This window comes from Homo sapiens, chromosome 22 (genome assembly GCF_000001405.40).
Source record: "Homo sapiens chromosome 22, GRCh38.p14 Primary Assembly".
NCBI classification, from domain to species: Eukaryota; Metazoa; Chordata; class Mammalia; order Primates; family Hominidae; genus Homo; species Homo sapiens.
Genome location: NC_000022.11, coordinates 21,223,469 through 21,242,063, shown reverse-complemented (window position 1 = coordinate 21,242,063; position 18,595 = coordinate 21,223,469). Strand labels below are relative to the sequence as shown.

The following is an 18,595-nucleotide window of genomic DNA, read 5'->3' as shown; positions in this document are numbered from 1 at the left end:
GTGCTTTCAGCATTTTTAGGTGTTCATAAATATTGTTCTCTGCAGTTTTTAAATGGTTGCATACTGTTTCACCACATGTGGAGAGTGCTGTAACTGACTGATGGATTCTTTGTTTGGGGACCTTTTCCTGCTTTTGTGACCCACCCCACTATGGTATAGTGCTCATTCTTGTACCTTCTTTTGGAAGTCCCTGAACTCTCCAGCTTGGTCTTGTGTATCTGCGAGGGCCCTGTTTCCCAGTTCTCTTCTCTGGGCTGCTGAAGAATTAGTCTCTACCTCCACGGTTCTGTTTTTTGCATCTGTGATGCTGGCTTATCTGTGCCTCCCTGGAAAGAAAGAGCAGGGCCCACTGCCTACTGCCTGGTCATAGTTATGCTCAAGAACATGGTCCTTGAATTGAATAGGGAAAATGTCCAATCCAGGGCTACCCACCGATGACAGCCAAGCACAGGAGCCTGAGCCACCAGCAATGAAAGTCAAAGCTGAGGGAGAAGGAGCGGCCATCCATTGTTACCATTCGTAACAGGTGCTTGGGAAAACCCCCAGAAGCAGTGTCAGGGCTCTCACTATTTATTTTTAGTTGTGTGTAGATGTTCATGCTTTATGAGTGTGCTAGACATATTTCAGGGTGCCTGCCACCCACACTCTTGGTGGGGAACGGTTTGGGGCCCTTCACATTCCCTGTTGCCCAAAGTGGTTATATGCTGGGTAATGGAATACAGATGCCCATCTGGTCAAGTCCACCTAGATCTGAGTGTGTTGGGGAAATGCATATTGTAAATGACCCCAAAATCTACAACTTTGGGGGCCTGGTTAAAAGAAAAAAGGTCTCCCAGCCAGTCAGACTGCTTTCTGGGGAATTTGCACTGAGAACCACAGTGGTGAGTGCAGCAGCAACAGGCATGTGTAAGCTGAGTATTTGGAGCACAGAAACTATGGCTGAGTAAAGGAACTTTGTCCCTGAAGAGTGGCGGGAGCTGTCCTGAGGAGGGCGGTCTAAGTCACAAAGGTTTTCCAGTTCTGGTCCTTGCAAGGCATAGCTCTGCTGTGATCCTCACTCATGGGTTGCCCTGAAATCCCACAGTGTCTTTTTGTATCCTTTCTCCATCCTCCCCACTTCTCCCCACACACTAGAGCTAGTTGTTGGGGCTCTGCTTATTGCGATTATCCAGCTATCGTCCAGGAGGATGGCACATTGGCTAGTGCTTCCACTGCTGAGAGGGTCACAGCAGTGCCTTGGGCAGAGTCAGGAGAAGAGGAATATTCCTGTTTTGTACCGGAGTGCTTTCCAGGGTGAAGAGCTGAAGGAGCTGCTCTGAGTAGGACACGGCACTGAGGTTCCTTTGGAGACCCCAATTCACAGCCTGGGCATTCGTAGCTAGGCAGCCCCATTTTCTAGTTTTGTGTCTCCATGGCCTAGTGTTGGGAGACAGAAGGTGGGGACACTGTGTTGAAGGACACAGCAGACTGACTTATCATGGGCTTCCTGAAGCCAGGGCCACCCCTTTGTATCCAGGTCTAGTTCTGATGCCACTTGAAAAAGCCCCCCAAGTGCTTTTGCTGTTGGCGCCCCGCATCTCTCTGCTGCCTGGTAGCTGACATTCTGACCCTGCCTGCAGATGCGCTCCCGGCATGTTGTCAGCAGGGCCCTGGGCTTAGCAGTCCTCTTCCTGAAGCTGTGAGAGCATTGAGGGGTGCACAGCTGGGGCCCTGCCAGCTCCAGGAGGAGGTGCAGGCAGTGCTGAGTGTGGCGGGAGCTGTGGAAGAGTTATTCCAGTCCTCTTTAGGAGAGGGTGGTGGTGGCGGCCAGTAGAGGGACTGTTTGAAATCCAGCAGACACCTTTCTCCCAGACTGAAAACCTGGGGACCAGACTGAGAGTCTGGAGAAACTGAGGTATCCTAGGTCCAGAAATGAAGCGTAAAATAATAGCAACAGTAATTGCTGTGAAATGTATGCTGTGAGAAGGAATGAGGCACTTACTGGTTCAAGTGATGGTCCTTTTACTGGAACTCACTCTAAGCTGCGGTTCACTGAGCCTCTGGACTTCTCAGAGGGAGTGTTGCCATGAAGCTGCCCTCTTTAAAAAAAAAAATGCCCAACACTCAGCCTATTTCCATTATCTCCAAAACCGGAGGGAAAGAAAGAGCGGTCAGAGTAATTACAGGGAGAACATTTCCAGGCAAGTAATCTGATCTTGCCTTTTAATTTTTTTCCCCTCTAGAAAATAGAAGGCAAATACTGGCACTTATATTTACTTATAAGCATTTCTATTAGATGCTGCCTTGAATCTAGGTGGGGCTGAAAACAGTGTCTATTCCTGTGGCTGTGGGCATGGCTGGCCTAGGGCAGGCTGCAGGGCTCCCTCGCTGCCTTTCTTTTTTGATGCTGCTTCTGTGCTGTCCTTCGCATGAGAGTGAGGGGGAATGCAGGTGAGAGGGTGGCAGGACTCAGGTGCTATCCCTACCTTTGCTGGGAGGAGTGGAGGATAGAGGCAAAGAAATGAGCGATAGGAGAGGAGGAGCAGAATAGAAGGGCAGGAAGTGGGGTCTTTTGGGCTTTCCTGGTTCCAAGCATGGCATAGGGTGAAAGAGCCATGGACATCCTGAAAGTGATAAGGTCTTCCCTGGGGTTTCAGTGGTCATGGATAAGAGAAGCTGGGGATTGTACAAATTCAGGTGGGGAAAGGATAAGCAGTAGAAGGCATGGGCTTGTTGGTTATAGAAAAAAAAGTATAAATAACCTAAATATTCATTAATATTGGAATAAATAAAATGTGGTGTAATCCTATGATGGAATACTGTGCAGCTATATAAAGAAGAAAAATGGGAACTATATTTGATCTCAAAAACTTTGAGGAGGAAAACTGAGGAACATAACTCAATGAAAGGGATGATAATGTTTATGTAAAAAATGCTGAAAAATAATGTATATTTTTCAGTGGTTACATATATCTGGATATAAAAGCAGTTTTTTGGTTTTTTTTTAAGTCTGGAGAGCTCTATCCTTAAATCACAGTAGTGCTAATCTCTGGAAAAATGAGGGGAAGCAGGGTTAGTGGTAGTAGTCAGAAGAGATAAAAGACTTAAAATACTGTATTTTTTAAAACATTTAAGTAAATATTCTAATCTAAGTAAATAGTAGCATGTTTAAAACATTTTTGAGTTATGGTTTAGCAGTCCTCTAAGGAAGCAGCGTCAACATTTAGTAATGAGGGAATTAGGCAGCAGCTTAGAAGCAGCCACCCATCCCTGGGGCTCAGTAGGTAAATGTCTCAACCTAGGACAATCGGGCAGTCTAGTGACACAGCAGTGCAGACATCAGAGAGATCAGTCAGGTTGGGATGAAATGAATTACTGGGTTTGCAGTCCTTTTGGCTGGTTCTGTAGCTGGCAGTTACATCTTCTTAGAAGTAGTATCAATAATTTAACATTCATTAATCATCATCTTTAGACCAGCTCTATTTTAGGTACCACTGGGGATTCAGATAAGAGAAAGAATGAAAGAGTGAATGAATGATATTTTTGTCCTTGGATTTAAAACCAGGCCAGGCCCTCATCTTGTCGCATTTGACTGTGAATTTGGTCTGTCTGCTTCCAGTCCTGCCCTCTGCTCTGTCCTTCACCTGCCACCAGAGTGATAATTCGAAAGTGTAAATCTGATCCGTCTTCTTCCTTACCTCTGTTAGGCTCTTTCTCAACTTCCCCTGTCCCAGAGGAGGTGTTTGACTTTATTAATGTGCCTTTCGGTGCCCTTTTCCGCCTGGCACTGATGTGCCCTCCAGTCATGTGACAAAACGACCTCCGCAAACTTCTTGCTAATCCTGGAATGCACTGCGGTGTTTTCATGTGGTATATATTTCCCTTGCGCTTTGGGATCCAATTCAGATGACACTACTTTTTTGAAGGCTTTTTGAATGCTTTCACTTTCTGAAAGGGCTTAACCTTGCACTTTGCACCTCACTGCTATCGTATACCATTAAAATGATTAGTTATGTGTATTTATTTTAGGATTGTCAGCTTAGGACAACTTGTCAACTATGTCTTATTAATCTCTCCCTCACAGTTTCTGTCCTAGTGTCCATCATAATAGGTACTGAAAAAAATGTTGATTGAAGCCATAGCATATGTTCTTGTTACCTTTCTATGTAACAAATGTTTCCCAACCTCAGTGGCTTAAAACAACAATTTTGTTATGCTCACAGAATCTGGGGGTTGAGAATTTACAGGCACGGCAGGCATGGCTGGAAGTTCCAAGGCTGGGGGCAGCTCACAGGGGAGGCTTGTTCACTCACATGGTGGCAGGTGGAGCTGGGTGGTGATTGGCTCATTCACTCACATGGTGGCAGGGGGACCTGGCTGGAGCCAGCTCTGGACTGGAGCACCTGCCCTGGGCCTCTCCATGTGCCTTGGGCCCCCTCACAGCATGGCCTCAGGACCGTTGGCTTTCTTATGTGGTGGTTCAGGGCACCCTGAGTGAAATGGAAGCTACATCACTTGTCATGACCTAGGACTGGAAGTCACACAGTGACTTCCTGCCCAGATCCACAGAGGAGGGAATTATTCTAAACTCCACCTCTTGATGGGAGTGTGTGGCATGGTCACATTGCAAAAGAGCGTGTGGGAAGGAGATATTGTTACTGCTGTGTCTGGAGAATACAACCTGCCACGGTGTGTGGGAGAAATTAGTTCCACAGCTAGAGTTAATATCACTACTATTGCTACTACTGCAACTAGCGGCTAAACATTTATTGAGCACTTATTGTGTGCCAGGAATTAAGTTTTAAATGTAGCAACTCATTAAATCCTTCCATAACACTGTGACGATTATACCACTTTACAGATGAGGAAACTGAGGTGCAGAGAGGTTAAGTAACCAGCCCAAGGTCTCACAGCTACTGCCCATGCTGTGGGAAGTCAGTGAAGGCGAAGACTTAGGAATTCACTCCGAACTTTAGGTTTGCTGCTGGATTGTGGCAGTGCATTTATCACATGGGAGTTGATGGCTGTTTCAAGAGCCATTTTTTTTTTTTTTTTTTTTTTTGAGACAAGATCTCGCTCTGTCACCCAGGCTGGAGTGCAGTGGCACAATCATTGTTCATGGCAGCCTCGGCCTCCCAGGCTCGAGGAATCCTGAAGGGACCTTTTTTTTTTTTTTTACATAGAGTGTTGCTCTGTTGCCCAGCCCACAGTGCAATGACATGATCTCGGCTCACTGCAACCTCCACCTGCTGGGTTCAAGCGATTCTCCTGCCTCAGCCTCCGGAGTAGCTGGGATTACAGGCGCACATCACCATGCTGGGCTAAATTTTTGTATTTTCAGTAGGGACAGGGTTTCACCATATTGGCCAGGCTGGTCTCGAACTCCTGACCTCAGGTGATCCACCTGCCTCGCCCTCCCAAAGTGCTGGGATTATAGGCATGAGCCACTGTGCCTGGCCTCAAGGGACATTTTTGATGAAAGTATGGATCCAGATAAGGTCCTTGCACCTGTGGGCTTAGGAAGCTGAACCTCAAGCTGTCCTGGTTTTATGGCTCCACTTGTGCCATCTGGACCTTGGTTAGACTGTCCCTTGATGGCAGTGACATTGACCGAGTGGGCTGGAGTGCAGTGGTGCGATCTCGGCTTGCTGCAACCTCCATCTCCCAGGTTCAAGCAATTCTCCTGCCTCAGCCTCCTGAGTAGCTGGGATTACAGGCGTGTGCCATCACACCCGGCTAATTTTTGTATTTTTAGTAGAGCTGGGGATTCACCATGTTGGCCAGGCTGGTCTCGAACCCCTAACCTCAAGTGACCCATCTGCCTTGGCCTCCCAAAGTGCTGGGATTACAGGCTTGTGCCATCACACCCGGCTAATTTTTGTATTTTTAGTAGAGCTGGGGATTCACCATGTTGGCCAGGCTGGTCTCGAACCCCTAACCTCAAGTGATCCATCTGGAAGTGCTGGGATTACAGGCATGAGCCACTGTGCCTGGCCAGTGCAAGTGCCTTTAGCCAGCTTCATTTACTCCCTAACTCCTTGCCTCAGGTTCTGCATCCGTAAAGTGAGGTCACTAGGAGTATTTACCTCAGAGGGCTGTTGCAAGGTTAAAGCTGGTTATACAAGCAGAGTACTTGGAACAGTGTCAGTTACCTGGCTGGGGCTCAGTAAGTGCTGGCTGTCCTTATTGGAAAGGTTCAAGTGTTGTGTTTTCCTGTCACCTGATCTGGAAAGAGGTCAAACAAAGGATCTTTTAGCCCATGCCACTTCCTGTCCTTCCTTGGCTGAAGGCTGACAGGTAAGAATCCCCAGAAGTTGTCACCGATGTGCCTGTGGAAGTGCCTTCCCGATTGCTTTCCCTCTGGAGCCTTTAAGTTCCATGAAGCACTTAGTTGGCCTGGACTCCACCTATTCAGCATGCTGTGGCAGCTCAGTTCAGTTCCCATTTTTAACTTGGGACTGCATAGATTCCCCAACATTTCTTTTAGGACCCGGTGACCAAGAAAATCCAGTCAGTGCTTTATTACTTCTCACTGATATTCACAGAGCACATTTAGTGTGAGCCATGGAATAAGAAAACTCTTAGTCACATTCTGTGTCATGAGAAGGTTACTTAACCTTGAAAACCATTTCCTTGTCTGGTAAATGTGGCTGTAATGAAATCGACCCCATTCACTGTTGTGAGGATTAAATGCGATGATGTATGCAGAGCAACTAGGACAGTGCCTGGGAAAGTGCTGCTCATGATCATTTATCTTCGGTTTAGAACAATATATACTTGTTTATTTAAAAAAGGAGATAATAGAGAAAAGGTATTGAGAAAAATAGGAGAGGAGAAAATCACTCATATTCTCACCATTCAGTGAATCAGCCCAGTATCATCAATGTTTTGTTTGGTTGTTTTTGTAGGTGTAGGATTTTTTTTTTTTTAACGTAATTTTCCTGCATATGCAGTTTTGCATTTTTAACCCAAACTTAATGTTCTTTTTAATGTTCTTGTACTTACAAAGATTTATCCTGTTTTTAGATTGATATCTCACCTTGGCAGAAATGAGATAAAATTTTAAAATATTCATTTGGTGGCTTTCACAGTGTTATTTGATCTCTAGGGTCTCCTGTGAGTTTGCTACATGGTGCGTTGTATTACTTTCATCTTATAGATGAAGAAAGATATTAGTGTGGCTGAGTCGCATGCAGAATTTGGAGGAGCATGGTGCCGAATGAGCCTTGATGATTGTAGGGGCCACAACTGGAAAAGTAGATGTAAAATGGTGAGGTCGATCCCTCTGACACTTTCACATGCTCAGTCACGCATCTTGAACGTATAAGTTGGATCCTGTGCCTAGAGAGGTAGGTTTCTGAGCCAAGGCATATTCCAAAAATTCATGAGAAGCTGGCTTTCCCAGGCACAGTGAGCCCTCCCGGCTCACTAACTCCTGAATCATACCTCCTGCCCCTAGCCAAGTTTATCTAGGACTTGAGCACAAAGAAAAAGTGGGAGCATCTTTGAACAAGGAATATCTTGAAAAACTAGTTAAGTGGTATCATATATTTGTGGGATGGGTGATTTCAAAACCCAATCTAAAAGGACAGGACCTTGCTCATTGACAATTTATTGTCTGATGCAATGTTTCTTAATCTTTTTGGGTCTTGGATTCCTTTGAGAATCTTTTGAAGTTTATGGACTCTTTTCCCAGAAGAACACACTCATGTGTATGTAACACAATTTTGCATTCAATCTTAGGGACTGCAGGTGTCTACATTAGTTATATATTGGTGTAAAAAAAAAAAGCCCCAAACTTAAGGCTTAAAGGAACAATAGATGTTTATTATCTCACAGTTTCTGTAGTTCAGAAAGTCAGTAACATCTTAACTGGATACTTCTGACTCGGAGTCTCTTAGGAGGTTGCAATCAAGATGTTGTTGGGGGGAAAGGGGCAGGTTCAGTGGCTCATGCCTGTAATCTCTACACTCTGGGAAGCAAAGCCAGGAGGATTACTTGAGCCCAGGAGTTTGAGACCAGCCTGGGAAACACAGTGAGACCCTATGTATTAGTCAGTTCTCACATTGCTATAAATACATGAGACTGGAGAATTTATAAAGAAAAGAGGTTTAATTGTCTCGCAGTTCCACAGGCTGTTCAGGGAGCATAATGCTGGCATCTGCTCAGCTTCTGGGGCAAGCACAGGAAACTTTCAATCATGGTGGAAGGTGAAGGGGAAGCAGGCACGCCTTACATGGCCAAAGCAGGAGCAAGAGAGAGAGGGGGGAGGTGCCACACACTTTTAAACAATTAGATACTGGGAGAACTCTAACAAGCACAGCACCAAAAGGGTGATGCTAAATCATTCATGAAAGATCCATTCCTGTGATCCAGTCACCTCCCACCAGGCCCCACCTCTAACATTGGGGATTATAATTGAACGTGAGATTTAGGTGGGTACACAGACCCCAACCATATCATCCCATCTCTATAAGAAATAAAAAAGTTAGCCAGGCATGGTGGTGTGTGCTGGTGGTCCCAGATACTCAGGAGGCTGATGTGGGAGGGTCACTTGAGCCTCAGAGGTCAAGGCTGCAGTGAGCTATGATTGCACCACTGCACTCCAGCCTGGGTGACAGAGTGAGACCCTGTCTCAACAACAACAAAAAGATGCCTGGGGTTGACATTATCTGAAGGCTTGACTGAGTTGACTGAGGCTGGAGAATCTACTTCCAGTCACATGCTAGCCAAGTTAGTGCTAGCTGCTGGCAGGAGGCCTCATGGGGTCCTCCCCATATGGCTGCTTTGATGTCCTCATAACATCGTGCTTGTCTTTTTATGACCTAGCCCTGGAAGTCACATTCCACCATTTGTGCATTTCCTATTGGTCACATAGGTCAGTCCTATTTAGTGCATAGGGCAAGGTCTGAGAGGGGAGTAGTGCTCACTGCCCATGCCCTCTCCTGGTGCACGCCGCTTCCAGCACCCAGAAGCTCTCCTAACTCCATTATTTAGGGTTTTCATATGGGATTTCATTACGTGGGTATGACTGATCAAATCACTGACCAATGCTGATTGGATCAATCTGCGGTCCCCCTCTTGTCCTTGGAGGTCTAAGGGCGGGGCTGAAAACTCCACAATTCTAAGCGTGGCCAGCTCCTTCCTTGAAACTGCCTCCGTGCTCACCTTCAGTCACCTCGTTAGCATAAACTCTGGGATGGCCAAAAGGGGCTTCTTATAAATAACAAAAGGTACTCCCATTGCTTAGGAAGTTCCAAGGGGTTTAGGAGCTCAGTGCCAGGAACTGGGGACAAAGACCAAATATGTATGTATGTATATATATATACTACAGTAGTGAATTTTATATAGCAAACATGCATTATTTTTCTTTTTGGCTAAAATTTTTTTCTAGTTATAAAACTGGTACATACTCATTGCAGAGGACTGGGGGAAGGAGTAAAATATTAAGAAAAAAATAAAAATCACTTGCCATCCTGTCACCTAGTATTTTCTTTCTAGTTCTTTTCATGCAGTTATATATAACATTTTGATCTTTCTTTTTATGTTACAGAAGTCATATTTGCTTATTGCAGAGTAATCCAAAGAGTACAGAATGTCTAAAGTTAAAAAAGTTATTTAAAAAAAATGATCCTTGCCTGGGAGGAACTTTCTATTGTAGGCTGAGAGGGGAGATAGAGGGGCTGTGGGTCAGAGGATGCCCTGGTCAGGGTTGGGCGCCTGTGTCTCTCTGGAGGCAGCAGAGGTCTGCACAGCGGGGTATTACCATTATAGGGAAATGGTGGGGTGGGATGTGTGGAAGGGGAATTAAACTGCCAAGAAGAAAACAATTCTTTTTATGTTGAGAAGCATTATTTTCAGGGGTCAGAAGCCCTTTGTGGGGCAGAGGGAAATTAAGGAGGTATTTAATAAACAGGTGCAGCTGAATGTGTGTGGTTAAAGTGCAATCCAGTAGTTATTTATTTGTCCGGATTGTTTATAACCTGCTTCCAGCCTAGACAAGTTGATTTGACCCTGCTGTCCTGGCTCATTCAGGCCACTTAACACTGTTTACCTTTGGGTGGGGAGGACGTGCATGATCCGCTGGCCTAGTGCCTTTGTAAGGTCTGTAAATCGGATGCATTCTGGTTAAACTCATTATTGCATCACAAAAGCCAGTATCTGATGGGTCTCAGCTGTTTTCTTTTGCACTGGGGAAGACTGGAGGAGAATGAAACTTCCTTGAACCAGTGATTGGGTCTCTACCAAAGAGAGAAACTTAAAGCCAGTGAGAGCCTTAAGATATTTCATTTGAGCACTTGGCTGGCACCATGTAGGTAGAGACACTTTAAAGTAACAGTGCTTTGCTACACCTGATTTGAATCATCTGTGGAGCTTCAAAAAAAACCCTAATTAATCCTAAGACCAGTTATGTCAGGTGGGGTCCAGGCACTGTTATTTTTTTTAAAGCTCCCCAGGTGATTCCAGTGTAGGTCCAGGATTGAGAAGCAGTTCTTGAAGATGCTGGTGTACCCTGACCTGCCTCCAGCCTTCTTTGCAGGAGATGGATGGGGGTTGGTTGTAGTTGCTCTGTCATAGAACACTGCAATTCTAAGGATGCCTAATGTTATGAATGTAGGTAAATTGTTTGCAAAATGTTCTGTGTTTCAGGAATACTGCAATCATTTGATTTAAGTGTCACCATATGTGTGTGTGTATACAGTCATGGGTCACTTAATGATGGGGACATGTTTTAAGAAATGCATCATTAGGCAATTTCATTCTTGTGTGAACATCATAGGGTGTATTTCAACAAACCTAGATGGGATATATATTTTCATTTATATATTTTATTATGGAAAATCAAATGTCCCAGCACTGTTACTAAATATCAGTCATTTCCCCTACTTGATCTGCCATGCCAACATTAAGTGCCATATATTAGATCTCTATATATGCTCCATTATAATCTTACAGGATCACTGTTGCACATGTGTTTCCTCATTGACTGAAATGTTATTCAGTGCATGACTGTACATATATTAAAAATGTTATGCACCATATTTTAACATACTGATATTACTAATGAGTTGTCCTCATGGTGACTTTAAATGTCATAATTAATGCCATCAACCAGAATATATCAAATAAATTCAGATACCACTTGTTCTGTTTATTTCCTTCCCCTGCCAATTTTTTATTTTTCCTGGTTCTGCTGAAGCCAAGATGGGGTGCTGTGTAAGATTTTGTTTGTGAGGAAAGGTTCTGCATGAATTAAAGTTTTGCAAGCCATGGGCATTTCATTGTATGGGCCGTTTTGAGGTCTGTCATCTTGCAGATTAGATTAGCTTACACTGAGGCACAGTCACCTGCTGGGCTGGGCAGAGAGCTGCACTCCACTAGTATTTGAGCTGTCCCGGCTGTTCACCAGCTGGATCCACTTCAGATAGGCATAGCCAGGGCAGCCGCCATTCCCATTTGTGGGGGAAAAGGGAAGCTATCACAAGAATGGGCTGCAGCTGTGGGATGAGGTGGGCAGCCCAGTGATGGTGTCATTGTCAAGGGGCCGTTGAAATGTCCTTAAGCAGTCATTGGCCAAATCCTGTCCTCTATGGATCCAGAGCCACAGAATGTTCCAGCAGAAATATGTCTTAGCCAGCAGCTCTTTATTGAGGACTGATTGTGGGCTAGGCTCTGTGCTAGGGTCTTTACAGATGTTACTAAATCTTCTCAATAACCCTATGAGACAGGCATTATTATCCCCATCTTACCGATGAGAAAACTGAGGCTTAGAGAGGTTAAGCAGCTTATCCAAGATCACAGTTAATAAGTGACAAAGCCAGCATCGGAACCCATGCTAGTGCTCTCTAAAGCGTTCTTAGAAATCATGTGATAGATGAGAAGATCAAGGTCTGGAGAAGAAAAGCAAGTTGTCTGAGATGACACAACCAGCTCTAATTGGTGGCAAAGCTGCGCCTATAACTCACCTGCGCTTTTCACAACCTGCAGTACGTGACCACTGCCGAAATGAAGAGGCAGGGGTGTGCCCCCTCCCACCTTCTGAGTGGCTCAGGCACAATCAATGTTGAGTTGGCACGAAATGAGAAATTAAACTCACCATGCCACTTTAAGAAGAACATGGAGAAGGCAGGCAGAAGTGACCTTGGAGAACAGTATCTGAGCCAGAAGGCAGGAGGTCAGCGGGGGAGTCTTGAGTGGGAAACTCAAGGGTAGCCTGACTGTCCTTGTCACAGGTTTAGCTGGGCACTGTTAGTTCCCCCCTTTGTCAGTTTGTGGGAATCTGGGCATCAGGGATCTGTTTCAGCCCTTCACATTTGTATTTGGGTGTGCTCAGCTTAAAACGATAGCAGCCTGCAGGAGCTCAGCTCTGCCTCCATTTATGGAGGGAAGAGAAACTAAGGAATGCTCCTTGGGGTGGTGTTGGGGAGCAGCTACATGGGAAAATGAAGGGTGCAGCACCAGTAAAAAGGTGCTCCCAGGACTCCCTCCCACCAGCACTCGGACCAAGGAAGAAGCATTTAATTTCAGCCAGATTCCTAGATGGTTGCTTTTATTTGTTTTCATCTGAATTTGTGCCAAGGATTCAACTTTTCCTGCTTATTTTATTAAAAACTTTATACACAGCATTAATAAATAGATATAAAACTGCCGTATACATGACAAACAGAGGGGCTAAATGAAATTCCCAAGGGTCAGCTGTTGAATAAGTAACAAAAGCACATCTTGGCATGATCAAATTCCCATATATGCAAATTAGGGACAGTGCTTTACCACAGAGTGTTTTAATTAATATTTATAAATCACAGAGTGCCTTTGAAAGGGCCAGTAAGCTGTTTATATTATTATCATGTCACACAAATAACAAACCCTTTGGAGATTGCTGCCTACTTTGCATTTTGGTCTGAGAAGTAAGTGAGCATGTTGCGTGTGTTTCTCTCCCTCGTAGGTGTGGTGTCAGCACAGCGGCAGGTCACCGTTCAGGAAGGACCCTTGTACCGCACGGAGGGCTCCCACATCACTATCTGGTGCAATGTGAGTGGCTACCAGGGACCTTCTGAACAGAATTTCCAGTGGTCCATTTACCTGCCTTCGTCGCCAGAGCGAGAGGTGCAGATCGTCAGCACCATGGACTCTTCCTTCCCCTATGCCATCTACACCCAGCGCGTCCGCGGAGGGAAGATCTTCATAGAAAGAGTCCAGGGGAACCCAACCCTATTGCACATCACAGATCTTCAGGCCCGGGATGCCGGGGAATATGAATGCCACACACCCAGCACCGAGAAGCAATACTTTGGGAGTTAACAGTGCAAAGATGAACCTAGTGGGTAAGGAGAAGCTGTCTTCACGTTGCCAGCGTCTGGCCTGACTCAGTTCTTTAGTAGTGTAATTTTGCTTTATGCCATGCATTTGACTTTAAAAAAAATCCCAAAACTCCCAGCATATTTTAGGGGTCAACAGATAGCACAAGGAAACTAAATTTCTGTGTTCACTTCTAAATAATAGGTGGTTGAGGGTGAAACTTTAAAAAGATCTAATGCAGATGTTAAGAATTTCGTAAGTTAACTAACCCTGTAACTGGTGAAAAGGGATATGAAAATATAAGGCAAGGACGTTTGTGGTTGATGATCTGAATGACAAGGAAGATGAGACGTATGACATCAGTTGGGAGAGAGGAGAAACCTCTCGGAAGGATAGGCCTTTGGGTAGCTCTGAGACCCACGGGGCACTGCTGAAGCAGGAAGCACATGTGGCTGCGGGTCCTTGCTCAGACCTTGTACATTGAAGGTCCTTTGGCTCCATGCGTAAGGAACTATGAACTGGCTGTCTCCCTTGTTGCTCCTTAATGCTGAAGGAAACATGAGGAAGAGGGATGCAGGAGCTTCCAGTGTGGGCAGCACTGGTCACAGTGTTTGCCAGTGTCAAAGGGTTAACCATATCAAGGCTGTTCTGTTTTTCTGCCTATATTAATGTCCAGTTTTTATTATCACAACTAAGCAGTGGGTGTTGCTAGTTCTTTTATTAATACACATACTATCATTTGTTTATTTTTCCTTTCTCTAACTAGTCTGTGTTCCAGCAGGAGACCTTTTTTTTCTTTTTTTTTTTTTTTGTGTGTGTGTGTGTGTGTGTGTGTGACGGAGTTTCACTCTTGTGGCCCAGGCTGGAGTGCAGTGGTGCAATCTTGCCTCACTGCAACCTCCACCTCCCGGGTTCAAGCAATTCTCCTGCCTCAGCTCCTGAGTAGCTGGGATTACAGGCACCTGCCACCATGCCTGGCTAATTTTTTGTATTTTTAGTGGAGATGGGGGTTTCACCATGTTGGCCAGACTGGTCTCGAACTCTTCACCTCAGGTGATCCACCTGCCTCTGCCTCCCAAAGTGCTGGGATTAAAGGCGTGAGCCACTGCACCCGGCCATGTGATGGGAATGTTCTGTGTCCATAATAGATGCTGCATATTGCTGGCCCAGCTCCTGAGGCTCTTTGGACCTCCAGGAATCGGTGTCTCTACCAGGAACCCTTAACCCTGACCCGGACTCCCGGCTGGGACCCGGGGTGTTGGAGTGGCAAGAGCGCTGTCAGGCCTGGTGAAGGGTGTGAGCTGTCCAACAGGGCAGGGAGGAGGCAGGGCCTGTTCTGCAGTTGGACAGACAGAGCCCTCTAGCTGCTTTCTGGAAGACTGAAGGGCAGGTGATGTTGGAGGGAGGGAGTGCAGGCAGGGGCTGTGAGGGAGTTCAGGTCAGAAACAGGTGGCGCCTGGATTCAGGCTGTGGTGGTCACGGTGGGGATGAGGGGCTGCTTTGGATTGTGCTGGGGATGTGGGGTGGTGCGCTGCTGCATGGCTACTGCCAGGTCTCTCTGCTCTTGGTGTCTGCATCCAGGGCTGGGAGGGGGTCAAATGTATCACACTATCGGCCCCAGGCCCACCAAGCCTGGGGAGGTGGCCACCCTTCCACGATGGCATTTGGATGTTCCCTGTGTGTGGGGAGGGCACGGGGACTCCATTCGTAGACCACCTCTGGGACAGTGTGTCTGCCTCTGAGGTCAGATGCTCTGCACTGGGACAGCGTGGAGTGGAGGGAAACCAAGCTTGGGGCTCATTGGAGGGGCTTGCTGGCAGACACCGCCCTTTGTGGGAAACTGACTGTGGGAGAGGGGAACCCCAACCTCTGTCACCACATCCCTCTTCCCTGTTGTCACACCTGTCACCTGCTGCCGTAGCCATGAGACTTCCCAAGGGTCACTGCTGCCACTCACTGCACAGCCTGGAAGGGAGTCCACAGGGGACATACAGTGAGCAAGAGACCTGTGCCACTCAGGCCTCCTGGGGGTGTCCCCAGTGCAGCCATGATGATAATCACAGCTACCATTCACCAAGCCCTGCCCACAGTCTAACCTACTCTATTCACAACACTCCCAGCAGCAAGGCAAGTGAGGTGCTGCCGTCATCCAGGCTGGACAGTTCAGTGATTTGCCTGAGGCCCCACAGCAGGTGAGTGGCAAGTCCAGCGTCAGAGCAGGGCAGGCTGGCGGTGCCTCCTGAGCCCCCTTTGCCATGCTTACCGCATGCACATCCTGGGCTTGTGCAGGAATGCCCTGTCCCCTACCTGCCCTGCTCCGTGCAAAACCCTGTGCCTGGGAGACATGCTGAGAGAATTCATGGAAACAAATGTGTTACTGACAGCCTCTTTGCCTCCAGAGTTCAACTGGAGACAGAGAAACCAGCTAGAGGCAGAGGGAGGTAACACGGAGTCCCCCAGAAAGGTCTGGGCTGTGCGTGCTTCAGGTAACCTCCCTTGACCTTCAGGAGAACGAGAAGGCTGCCTGATCAGAGAGTCTCTGAAGAAGATTCTGTGGCTACAGGCTTCAGCAGAGTGTGAGGGAGACCCCGGTTATTTCCTCAGCTGTTTCCACCAAATCCTCCTGTCTTTCGTGGCCAACACCCCAGGCAAGGCTTGGGGCCCCCGTCTGCTGCTGGACGGTAAGTCCTGGCCCCGTGGCAGTGAATCTGTGGGGCGCTCTGATTGTGGGCACTATGGAAGCTAAACCCCATGCTCCAGGTGGGGTGGAGGGTCTTCAGAGGACTCCTGGACAGTGCCAGGCTCTAGGCTGGGGTGGGGGACGCAGGAGAAACCAGGCCAGGCCCATCCCTGCTGGAGCTTCTCCCTAAGCAGTGGAGGCTCAGCCACTGTGAGGAGGTAGGCCAGGCCCTGCAGAAAGAGGGGTGTGGAAATCTGGGGGCTCCCAGGAAGGGCCGCTGCTGGAGATGGGGTTCTTACCAGGATGGGCTCTGAAGATAAGCAGGGAGGATTTGGGAGGGCAGAGATGAGGCCCAGAGCTTCTGGCAGAGGGCATGGCCTGCGCAAAGGTCTGGGGGCCGGACAGCCTGCACGTATTCTGGGAAGCGGGAAGGAGACTCCGGCCTTGTGTTTCTGAGGCCCGACTTTAGACTGTGCCCTGTTGGGGAGGGGCCAGGGCATGTCTGAGGCTGGGCCTGACCCTGCTCCTTACCCCGTGGGTGCAGCAGAGCCATGAAGAAGAAGTTAGTGGTGCTGGGCCTGCTGGCCGTGGTCCTGGTGCTGGTCATTGTCGGCCTCTGTCTCTGGCTGCCCTCGGCCTCCAAGGAACCTGACAACCATGTGTACACCAGGGCTGCCATGGCCGCGGATGCCAAGCAGTGCTTGGAGATTGGGAGGTGAGCGGGGCAGGGCATGGGACATGGGCCCTGAAAACTGGGCAAGTGGACCTGAGCAATACCTTCACCCCTCTGAGACTCAGTTTCCCCACATGCAAGCTTCGCTTGGACTCTCTCAGTAGCCTTTGGGAAGGGGACGGTGACTCCGAGAGCAGGGTGTGGGTCTCTAGAGCCAAACAGGGCCCCTTTTCTCAGTTCTAAGAGTCTCTGTTTCTTTGGATAAACTCCACTGTTTTGTTGTTTGGTTGTTATTTTTACTTATTTCTTCCTATCTATCTATCTATCTATCTATCATCTATCTATCTATCTATCTATCTATCTATCTATCTATCTATCTATATCTATTTAGAGATGGAGTTTTGCTCTGTTGCCAGGCTGGAGTGCAGTGGTGCAATCTCAGTTAACTGCAACCTCCGCCTCCCAAGTTCAAGCGATTCTCATGCCTAAGCCTCCCAAGTAGCTGGGATTATAGGAGTGCGCCACCACGCCCAACAAATTTGTGTGTGTGTATATGTGTGTGTGTGTGTGTGTGTGTGTGTGTGTGTGTGTGTTTTCTGAGACAGAGTATCGCTCTGTTACCCAGGCTGGAGGGCAGTGGTGCAATCTTGGCTTACTGCAGCCTCCACCTCCCAGGTTCAAGTGATTCTCCTGCCTCAGCCTCCACAGTAGCTGAGACTACAGGCATGTGCCACCATGCCCAGCTAATTTTTGTATTTTTAGTAGAGACAGGGTTTTGCTATGTTGGCCAGGCTGGTCTTGAACTCCTGACCTTGTGATCCTCCCACCTCTGCCTCTCAAAGTGCTGGGATTACAGGTGTGAGCCACTGCGCCTGGCCTAATTATGGTGTTTTTAGTAGAGATGGGGTTTCACCATGTTGGTCAGGCTGGTCTCGAACTCCTGACCTCAGGTAATCCACCCACCTGGGCCTCCCAAAGTGTTGGGATTACAGGTATGAGCCACCACGCCCGGCTTATTCTTTTCTTTTCTTTTCTTTTTTTTTTTTTTTTTTTTGGTTAGGAGACAATTTCTTTCTTTCTTTTTTTTATTTTATTTTATTATTATACTTTAAGTTTTAGGGTACATGTGCACAATGTGCAGGTTTGTTACATATGTACACATGTGCCATGTTGGTGTGCTGCACCCACCAACTCGTCATTTAGCATTAGGTATATCTCCCAATGCCATCCCTCCCCCCTCCCCCCTCCCCCCAAGGAACGCTGTTGCCCAAACAGGGACATGAAGGGCTTATTCTTTTTTTAAGGTGGAGTCTTACTCTGTCACCCAGGCTGGAGTATAGGGGAGCGATCATAGCCCACTGCAGCCTCAAACTCTTGGGTTTAAGTGATCCTCCCGCCTCAGCTTCCTAAAGTGCTGGGATTACAGGTGTGAGCCATGGTGCCTGGCTTCTACTGTGTTATTCTATTTTAGACTCTTATCTCATGTTATATATAAAGATAAGTTCCCTCCTAAAGACTTAAACAGAAAAAATATTATGTTTTTCATATTTTGAGACAGGGTCTTGTTCTGTCACCCAGGCTGGAGTGCAGTGGCATGATCATAGCTCACTGCAGCCTTGAACTCTTGGGCTTAAGCGATCCTCTCACCTCAGCCCCCTGAGTAGCTAGGACTACAGGCGTGCATCATACCTGACTAATTAAAAAAGACTGTTTTGTAGAGATGGTCTCACTCTATTGCCCAGGCTGGTCTTGAACTCCTGGCCTCAAGTGATCCTCCACCTTGGCCTCCCAAAGTGCTGAGATTACAGGTGTAAGCCACCATCTCTAGCAGGGAAAAAAAAAATGTTATTAATAAAGTATAGCAATTTCCCTTTTTGTCCCAATTATAAAAGTCATGTACATTTGTTTGCTTAATAAAGAGGAAACTGTCTGGGCAAGGTGGTCCACACCTGTAATCCCAGCAC

General features: G+C 47.1%; 1 pseudogene across 1 annotated transcript in view, besides 1 other annotated feature; it reads left to right on the top strand.

Moving 5' to 3' along the window:
- GGT2P (gamma-glutamyltransferase 2, pseudogene) overlaps window positions 1-18,595 on the top strand; it is a 51,709-nt pseudogene that overhangs the window by 17,621 nt on the left and 15,493 nt on the right. The window contains exons 2-5 of the transcript NR_172944.1: window positions 12,926-13,304; window positions 15,402-15,470; window positions 15,786-15,959; window positions 16,503-16,673. The product of NR_172944.1 is annotated as a gamma-glutamyltransferase 2, pseudogene (transcript). The remainder of the gene's footprint in view (window positions 1-12,925; window positions 13,305-15,401; window positions 15,471-15,785; window positions 15,960-16,502; window positions 16,674-18,595) is intronic.
- Window positions 9,827-10,385: an enhancer, noted in NCBI's record as "OCT4-NANOG hESC enhancer chr22:21585968-21586526 (GRCh37/hg19 assembly coordinates)". NCBI's record gives its function as "activates a minimal SCP1, AML or CMV promoter by ChIP-STARR-seq in naive H9 embryonic stem cells {active_cell/tissue: H9 hESC(naive)}" and the evidence as "EXISTENCE:reporter gene assay evidence [ECO:0000049][PMID:30033119]".